General features: G+C 46.0%; 2 annotated features.

Moving 5' to 3' along the window:
- Window positions 4,702-5,232: an enhancer, noted in NCBI's record as "H3K4me1 hESC enhancer chr10:82024582-82025112 (GRCh37/hg19 assembly coordinates)". NCBI's record gives its function as "activates a minimal SCP1, AML or CMV promoter by ChIP-STARR-seq in naive H9 embryonic stem cells {active_cell/tissue: H9 hESC(naive)}" and the evidence as "EXISTENCE:reporter gene assay evidence [ECO:0000049][PMID:30033119]".
- Window positions 5,233-5,764: an enhancer, noted in NCBI's record as "H3K4me1 hESC enhancer chr10:82024050-82024581 (GRCh37/hg19 assembly coordinates)". NCBI's record gives its function as "activates a minimal SCP1, AML or CMV promoter by ChIP-STARR-seq in naive H9 embryonic stem cells {active_cell/tissue: H9 hESC(naive)}" and the evidence as "EXISTENCE:reporter gene assay evidence [ECO:0000049][PMID:30033119]".

The following is a 10,023-nucleotide window of genomic DNA, read 5'->3' as shown; positions in this document are numbered from 1 at the left end:
TGACAAGCCACCCTCCATGATGCTCCCAATCTCCCAGGAAGATGCTCCCAAGCACCTTCCATAAATCACACCCAATGCTGTCTCCATCTGGTACCGGGCTCTCAAAGGTTGTAGTTCTTTAAATAACTAAATATTTTCATTAATTATTAATAATAATGTTATGGCAATAATTCTATTGCTCACACTCTGAAGATGATGTATCAACCCAAATAAGAAAGCTTTTTTCCCCAGCTTCATTAAGGTATAATTGACAAATAAAAATTGTATGTATTCAAGGTATATAATGTGATTTGCTATATGTATATACTGTGTAATAATTTCCACAATCAAAATTATGAACACATCATCACACACAGTTACTCTCAAAGGTTGGAATTCTTTATGGATGTCAATGCTTGTTTATTTATACCTGTTGCCCCCATAGGACTTGGGGCTTTCCAAGGTCATCTGGCCTTGTCTGCTGTCTCATACTTGCCTTCAATGCAGGGCTTGGCACAGAGTAGGTGCTTGGTGTAGCACGGGTCATATCAGAGAATGAATTTGAGGTGTGTCCATCTGTTCTGCCTCCTGAGCTCTCCTTAGCAAGATATTCTGCAAGATATAAGGATCCTGCTTGCCCTTTGGTAGGTCTTGCCAGGCTCAGCTGCTCAGAGATGTAAATGTCAATCATTCCACAGAGCTGTTTTTTTAAAGCACCTGTTAAGAGCATAGCACTGTGACTATAAGGATTTATACCGTTACAGGTCACAGAGGACTAGAGAGACCAGTATGGGTGAATATAGGAGGGTATTTATTTTAAGGTGTGCACTGGCTCAGTGGATTCACATCCAAAAAGCTGAGCCTTGAACAAAGACTGAGCAGGATTTTTATAGGCAATCTACAGAAGCAAAACAAAGGCAGTTAATCATATAATGACAGGTCACATAATCTATAGCATAACTGATGACTTGGCATAACTTGTGGCCTTGCATAGCTGGTGGCCTTCTAGCTGCATCAAAAGAAAAAACAAGAACTGGCTAAATACAGATATTTGTCCTTTTTTTTTTCTTTTCCTTCACCCTTGCTCCTGAGGTGGGGTGTCTGGAGCCTATTCCTTTGGTTTCAACTTCTCGAACAGCGTTATCTTATAACTGTCCTTGAAGTGAGCTTGCTAGGCAGAGGAAAACTTGTTTGTCTTTTCTTTTTAACCCTTGCCTTGCCACATTCTGGGCCTTGGCTTTTACTTTTCTTGGAGTGAATGAATGCAGTACTTATTATTTTTAAATTTCTGCCTCCATACAATTGATCACTCTGCACTTCAGTTGCTTCAACCCTAGAAGTAACCGTGGCATGCCAATGAGGAAGACATCTCATGTCAGAGGTCCCAGAGAAATGTAATATCCAATGAGGGGCAGACACATAGGAGGTATGAATGGGGCTCAGGAGGTGGGAGCTTGGTCTGAAAAGTATAGGAGGTACTTTGGAGTTGGCAGTGGATGGAGGAATATGGGATGAGAGTTGAGTCTGGGGAAAATAATTAGCTCAGCAGGGGTTAGCTGGGATGAAAGGCATGGGGTGGGAACTTTAGAATAACTTTATGCCTGTGGCAAATTCCCTAGAGTAAGTATGACTCAGGCACAGTGTAAGAGGCAATGTGACAGACATCTGGTCCCTGGCCTATGAGGTCTTCTTCCTTCCTACCATAATGCCTCCATGAGGAACGTTTGGAGAAAGAAGGAACAAGGACTGTGTTCTGAGTTTGGTTCATGTCGGCTCAGATGCAGAACAATGTGGGTAGATAAATAATTCAGTGGGGAGAGGAAATCAACCCAAGGGAACAGGAGAGCTTACAACCTCAACAGTGGAGTCCCTATAATATGGGAGGTTTGTCAGACACTTTCATGTGACTCTTATGGGACAGGATGGAAATCAGAAGCCAAATAATTTGCTGTCTTAGTCTTTTCAGGCTGCTATAACAAAATAACAAACGGGGTGGCCTATAAATAACAGAAATTTGTTTCTCACAGTTCTCGTAGCTGGAAGTTTGAGAGCTGGGTGCCAGCATGGTTGGTTCTGGAGAGGTCCCACTTCTGGGTACAAATGGCCAACTTCTCATTGCATCCTCACACGGCAGAAAGAGGGTGAGAGAGCTGGGGTGTGTGTGATAAGGGCACCAATCCCATTTATGAGGGCCCCGCCTCTGAAAGGTCCCACCTCCTGATATCACATTGGAGGTTAGGATTTCAACATCTGAATTTGGGGGGACACAAACATTGACTCCATAACACTTGCCAAATCTGATTTCTTAAAAATGAAATTCTTGTGCATTAGGAAAAAGCCACAAGTAAGGGTAAAAGATAAGTGACAGAGTAGAAAATATTTGAATGGAGTGAACCGCAGCTCAATAAGAAAGCAATACAAGCCCCAGTAGGAAATGGAAAAAACTAGACGGATAGGAATAAGTAAATATAATCAAAGAAATGGAGAAAGTCAGGAGAAACAAAGGTTGCTCAATTGTACTTGTTTCAAAAAATAAACACTTTAAAAAATGCAACATTGTATTTCGGCAAACAGATGGCGAGAAAAAAAAAAGAAAGGAAAGAAAAGAAATAAATAAAAAGATTTGAAGACAGTGTGGCGATTCCTCAGGGATCTAGAACTAGAAATACCATTTGACCCAGCCATCCCATTACTGGGAATATATCCATAGGATTATAAATCATGCTGCTATAAAGACACATGCACATGTATGTTTATTGCAGCACTATTCACAATAGCAGACTTGGAACCAACCCAAATGTTCAACAACGATAGATTGGATTAAGAAAATGTGGCACATATACACCATGGAATACTATGCAGCCATAAAAAATGATGAGTTCATGTCCTCTGTAGGGACATGGATGAAGCTGGAAACCATCATTCTCAGCAAACTATCACAAGGACAAAAAACCAAACACCTCATGTTCTCACTCATAGGTGGGAATTGAACAATGAGAACACTTGGACACAGGAAGGGGAACATCACACACCGGGGTCTGTTGTGGGGTGGGGGGCGATAGCATTAGGATATATACCTAATGTAAATGACGAGTTAATGGGTGCAACACACCAACATGGCCCATGTATACATATGTAACAAACCTGCACGTTGTGCACGTGTACCCTATAACTTAAAGTATAATAAAAAATTTTAAAAAAAAAAGAAAAAGAAAAAGGTTTTTAAAATCCAGGGCTGGCAAAGATATAAGGAAATAGATATCCCCAAACACAGTTGATCGGTATAACTTGGTACAGACTTTCTGGATGAAAATATGGTTCTTCTTGAAATGTAAATGTCATGTCTGCCTAGTTTGACCTTGCGGTCAGAGGTGGCATCAAGATAGAGACAATCGCTTTGCTCCCAGGCCTAGGGGACAGAACCCCAGGAGGGCAAGGTCAGCGTGTGCTGAATGGACTGGGGGATGGGGTGGGTGGATCTTAGGGAAGCATCCATTCTGGGCCACCAAAGCAGGGCTTCTCTCCTGCCCCAGGGTTGAGGTGGCTGCCTCTGGGGTGTTTGCAGGAGTGCCCACAGAAAGGCCCTGGGACACAAGGCCTGGCTGGGAGGAGCCCCCTCCTTCACAGGCCAAGACTGCAACTGCGGAGCCAGTCACAACAGCCTAAGAGGACAGGAATTCCTTTCCTCGGAGGCTGTCAGAATCCCAAGTGACCAGGAGGAAACAGGCTCTGGCAGGGGAAGACACTTTGGAGGACCACCCACTCAGAGAGCAGATTGTGTCCGTGGGCAGGATGGGAGCTAAGAGTGGGAGCCGGCTGGATCTCCCTCCACTTCCTCGAGATCTGCCCAGGACACTGCCTGGTTCCCGCTGCTCTGGAGGGACTGTTCCCGGGCTGTGAAGTCCTGGGATCCCGCTGTTCCTTTAGTTCTGAACAGTGTATTCTCCAGCAGGAGGGGCAGCCCTGGACTCCCAGGCTCTGTGCAGGCTTCCCAGAAGCCTCTCTGGGAGGAGTGGGGGCCACTGCCTTCCACTTCCCGTGGCAGCCCCTGGCCCTGGCCTCCTCCAGGGCTCTGCAACCCTCTTCAGGCCCCCTGGCATGGTATCCATGCCCTCCTCGGGAGAGTAAGTGGGGTGGGATGAGGTGGAGGCCGCGACCTGTATAGACAACCCAGGGCTGTTCCATCTTCACCCTTGGGCGAAAAGTAGCCCAGCAGCAGCTTCAGGGCCCCACCTCCCAACCCCCACCAGGCCGACCCCACTCCCACTTCCTGGGCTGCCCCGCCCCTCCCAGCAGGCATGGCCAGCTCTCTCCACCTCTAGCACTGAGCTCTACAAAGCAGCTCTGAACTTAGTTCTCTTCTATGTCTTTGGTTTTCTGTTTGATCTCATCTTTAATTGTATATTTCTGCTCCTCTCTTAAAAGAAAGGAAAGAAGCCATTTTTTTTTGTTTTTGGATTTTTGCATCAAAGCCTTCACAGTTTCTAAGACATTTTAATTCGTTTTGATCTCATTTCTGTTTCTCTGCTTTCCTTGTGTTTCTTTTCCATTTTTAACTTTCTGAACTGAATGTTGGTTTTGGTGGCTTTTTGATCCAAAATGGCTTATGGGGGAGTCATAAAATTCCTATGTGGCTGTTTTTCCTCAATTTTTCACTCATTTCTAGTTTCATTGACACGTTATTAATAGAAAATAATCTCTATTATTTGTACTTTCCAAACACATTTTTGAGATTTTCATTGTAGTCCAAAATGATGAATTTTAGTGTTATATGATCACCTGATGTTATCAGTGTATAGATTTGCATTTATTTCAATTTGTTAAATATTTAAAATTATATAATATATACATGTATATTTTTAATTATATATTTCAGGTATTTTGTGGACAGGGATTTTAAGCTTTCCTTAGGGAAGCAACTGACAAGAGAGAACAAGAAAGTGTGAATTCTGAGGAAGGGCAAGGGATGGTTTTGGGCCTCATCACTCACTCACTCACTCACTCACCTGTTCCTTCCTTCCGCGGCATTCCTTCCCTCCTTCCACTGAGAACCAAGCCGCCCCAGGCCCGCCCCGGACCCCTGGGGCCTGCGGTAAGGAGTGCAGTTATTTTGTGTGGACATATGTGCTCCACGCCAGCAGCCGGAGGAAGCCTTCCAGGCAGAGAGAACAGGGAGCGCTCAGGATGGGGAGAGTGCTCTGGGGCCACAGGAGGGGGTTCAGCAGAGGGCAGGGTGGAGGGTGTGATTCTATTGTCGCTGTGCCCCCACGCCTCTCCAGTGATAGTCTGCCCTGTTGCCAGGCACGGGTGTGGTTCTGGGCAGACCGTGGTCAGTGGTCTCAGTGTTTCGGCCCAGCTGGCCATGGTGGCTGCAAGAAGCTCTGCAGCAGCCTGGGAAATGGGGGAGGACCTTCAGCCTCGCGTGAGCTGCTTTATTGGTGAACCCAGCAGACTCCATGGAGCTTGAGGCAGAAGCAGGTGAGCACAAGTTTTGCTCGGCCTGGATCACCCTGGGAGGTGGTGAGGGTGTCATGGTATGCGTGTGGTGAAAGTTCTCTTGTTTTTGACAGACTTGTTTAACCAGGGGATGAAAGACATTCTGTGCAGAGATCAGGGACGTGCCACTGCAGTCCAGCAGTAGTTCAGTGGAATGTAAAACCCTCACCGAGTTTCACCTCGAGACAGAGGAGGTCAAAGCCCAGGAGTGCCTGCTGCCCTGGATGGGTCCAGCTTGTGATCTGGAGTTACAGAAGGTGACTTGAGGCTCTTGAAGAAAAGCTGGAGGGAACTGTTTCTTATTCTCAAAGCCAGATTCTGTGTCTCGAATGGAAACTCATGATCATTGGTGGAGAGCATGGGAGGCTGAAAGAAACCTCATCATCTCCAGACAAGAGGCACAGTCCCGAGGCAAGGAAAACGGACACAGTGATTCCCCGAGTTTCTGGACATGGATCCTCAAGCAGCTGATAACCCAGATGGAGCGTGATTGGGGGCATTTGCCCTCTGACCTCCAGGCGTGGACGCAGCCTCCTCTGACACTCCCCTCCCTTTATACCCCACCTCAGCTGCCAGCCTTTCCTCTGCCCTCTTCCCCTCCATTCCCAGAGCCTATGTTTCCAGTGAACTCAAATGTGGAGTTCATGGGAAGGAGACATCCTCTTCTGTCCCCTTCTCCAGGAAGCCTGGGTGAACTCCTGAGCCAGCTTCCATGAAGGGCTGCTTTCCTCCTTATCCCCACTCAGGGGCTGGAGCCCCCACCCAGAAAATGGGAAAGAGTTGCTTTCTGGCTTCTCATTGAGCCACCACATGATCCTGCCAGTCCAAATGCCCAATTACCACCAGGCCCTACATAATTTCTCAAATTTTCCCAAATGTATTTTTGAATTATTTATGAGGGGGCTTCAAAAAGTTCATGGAAAATGTGTATTATGAAAAAACTGTGCATGGACTTCAAATTTTTTTTACACCAAAATAAACTCACACTAACTTGTTATAATATTTCTGAATAGGGTCTAGTTTGAGGCACTGAGAAGGATCAGAGATTGGCTTGATAAGAGCACCTACCAGAGCAACATGAATTCTGTGAAAATTGAAGTAAAAACAAACATTAAATTCATGGTGAAGCTTGGGTGGAAGAATGGTGAAGTCATGGATGCTTTACCAAAAGTTTATGGGGACAACATCCCCCCCCCCAAAAAAATCAGCAGTTCACAAATGGAAAACACATTTTAAGAAAGGAAGAGATTTGAGACCAGCCTGGCCAACATGGTGAAACCTCATCTCTTCTAAAAATACAACAATTAGCTGGGTATGGTGGCATGCACCTGTAATCCCAGCAACTTGGGAGGCTGAGGTAGGAGAATCACTTGAACCCGTGAAGCAGAGGTTGCAGTGAGCTGAGATCATGTCACTGCACTCCAGTCTGGGTGACAGAGCAAGACTCCATCTCAAAAAAAAAACAACAACAAAAAAAAACCACAAGATTATGTGGAAGATGAAGTCCACAGCGGTAGACCATCCATATCAATTTGTAAGGAAAAATATTCATCTTCTTCATGCCATAATTGAAGAGGATCAATGATGAACAGCAGAAAAAGACCCAACACCATGGACAGATCAACTGCAGACAGGAGGGGAGATTTAGATGAAAATTTTAAACAAGTGGGATTAAGATCCTGAAGCATTTCTTCAAAGAATTGTAACAGGAGATGGAACTTGGCTTTCCCAGTACAATGCTGAAGACAAAGCACAATCAGAGCAATGGCTACCAAGAAGCAGAGGTGACCTAGTCACAGCAAAAGCAGACAGGTGAAGAGCAAAGGTCAGGGCAACAATTTTCAGTGATGCTCAAGGCATTTTGCTTGTTGACTTTCTGGAAGGCCAAAGAACAGTGACATATGCTTATTACGAGTGTTTTGAGAGAATCACAGCTTTAGGAGAAAAATGCCCAAGAAAGCTCCACCAGAGAGTTCTCTATCATGACAATGATCCTGCTCATTCCTCTCATCAAACAAGGTCAATTTTGCGAGTTTCAATGGGAAATCACTAGGTATCCACCTTACAGTCCTGATTTGGCTCCTTATGACTTCTTTTTGTTTCCTAATCTTAAGAAATTATTTAAAGGAGACCCGTTTTTCTCCATTTAATAATGTAAAAAAGACTGCCTTGACATGGTTAAATTCCCAGGATCCTCAGTTCTTTGGAGATGGACAAAATGGACGATATCATCACTTACAAAAGTGTCTTGACCTTGATAGAACTTGAGAGAAATAAAGTTTATATTTTTTATTCTTGTCTTTTAATTTCATTTTCCCACAAACTTTTAAAAGTCCCTTATATTTGTTTTTAATTTAAAAGCCTCTTTTATATGTGCTTTACTTTTCCTCAAATGATACATCAATAGTATTATACATATATGAATAAAATTTGGTAAATAATGGTTATTTAAATTATTCTCATTATAAGTTCTAGAAAACAGAAGGAGTTAATTTTAATTTTATGATGTAGTCCATTATTTCCAAAACTATGCTATTATCTGGGAGCATTTCGACCACCAGAAACATTTGAAATATCAGAACACTTCCTCTCTGCCAATGCTTCTGTGTTGCTCAGTGATAAGACAACAGTGGAGGCTAGTTGTCAGTCTCCATAAATGTAAAAGAATGGTTTGACTGTGCTGACATTCTAAAGGGTAGGTGGCTCCTGGTCTGGGCCCAGCAGGGCTGCTGCCCCCTGGCTGTAAGGGTCCTGGCCAGAGCTGGACTGAGCTTAGCTGTTCAAGGCAATGAGAGGTTGGTACAGGCTGGGATTCCTCTTCACCAGCGCATCTGGCTTACTGGGCCCTCAGATTCTTCATTTGGGGTAAAAAGCCTGCCCCAGTGTCATCACCATCTGTACAATGCGTGTGCTAAAGGCCTCAGGGCAGCCTGGGCGAAGCGCTGGGGTGTCTGCAGCTTGAGGACTAGGGGTTGGGATGCCATGCTGAGCCAGGATCAAGCCTGCCCAGGGATAGATATGCACACCTTATAGGTAAAAAGCAAGGCTGGATCCTCAGGGTGATATAGTGAGCAGTCCTAGGACCTGAGGTTCAGACCAGGTCCACCTTGCAGTGTGAAAGGCCAGGTGAGCCTGACCAGGCTGGGCCTGGTCCGTAACTGTGGTCATTGTGGACCGAACACACTCTGGCATCTTCAGGGAAACCTGAACAGAGATTCTGGGGTCAGGGGGAACAAGGTTTGAAGCAGGCTCTAGAATCTTCAGGCCATGCGACTTCTGAAAAGCTGTGGAACCTCACTGAGCCCCAGTTTCCCTAGCTGTTACAAGGGAATGAAGATGGACCGTGCCTTGCAGTGAGCTTGGGAGGGATATGGTAGACAGAAAGGGTCTAGCTAGTGCCTAGGACCTAGCAAGTGCTCAGCAATGGATAGTGCTTCACATCAGCCTTCTCCAGGGGCACAGAACTGAGCTGGCCTCTGTGGACAAATGAGGATGAGACAGTTAGAACAGCCCTGAAAAAAGATGAAGACTGTTCCTGTCAGACCAGGCCTTTGGGAAGCAGGGGAAGTACAGGAGAATTCATGCAGATACAGCCTTGGAGACACAGAGAATTAAAATTATGCCTCCCGTCCTATCTTGGCACCTGATACAAAGCAGCTCTCCGTGAATGAGGAATGAATGAACAGGGAGAGTGATGTGTGACATTTATTTGCCCATCCTTCAATTGGCTGCAGTTTTTAATTCAGCCAGTAGAGGGCAGAGGTGGCTCGCGCATTCCCTGTGGACAGAGGAGGGGGTTCCAGGGAGTTCTGTGTGTTCCCATGGGGGATAATAAGCCTCAGGGCTCAGGGACCCCCATCCCTCACCAGGAGGCCGTTCAGAGCCCCCGAGAGATCAAGACTCTCCCCAGCTTTCCATCTCTCTGAACAGGGCAGGCCAGTTGGGACAGACACTCTGACCAGGTTTCCGGGGGCCTTGGTGTGCCTGCGCCCCATCTTGTCTCAGGGACTGCTCTGCCTTTCTCCTTTGTTCGGGGCGGGGGGACCTTTTTTGTTTTTTTTTTGAAACAGAGTTTCGCTCTGTTGCCCAGGCTGGAGTTCAGTGACGCAATCTCGGTTCACTGCAACCTCCACCTCCCGGGTTCAAGCAATTCTCCTGTCTCAGCCTCCGAGTAGCTGGGATTACAGGCACCCCCCGCCACCTTGCCTGGCTAATTTTTGTATTTTTAGTGGAGATGGGGTTTCGCCATGTTGTCCAGGCTGATTTCGAACTCCTGACTTCAGGTGATCCGCCCGCCTCGGCCTCCCAAAGTGCTGGGATTACAGGCATGAGCCACTGTGCACAGCCTTTTGGGGAGTACTTTTCTTAGGCGGAAAGGATAATGCACATGAGTGCTTATCCCATGCCGTTCCTGCAACCAGTGTCTGTCAGCTGGGAGCTAGCTGTTTATGCCTGTTTTACAGACGTAAGAACTGAGGCCCATTGCAGGGTCACCGTTATCAATAAGGAGCAGAGCCTGGTTAAGCATGGAGTGAAATTTTGTGTGAA

The sequence above is a fragment of the Homo sapiens genome, chromosome 10 (genome assembly GCF_000001405.40).
Source record: "Homo sapiens chromosome 10, GRCh38.p14 Primary Assembly".
NCBI classification, from domain to species: Eukaryota; Metazoa; Chordata; class Mammalia; order Primates; family Hominidae; genus Homo; species Homo sapiens.
The sequence above is the reverse complement of the archived record's forward strand: the minus strand, read 5'-3'. Positions and strand labels throughout refer to the sequence as shown.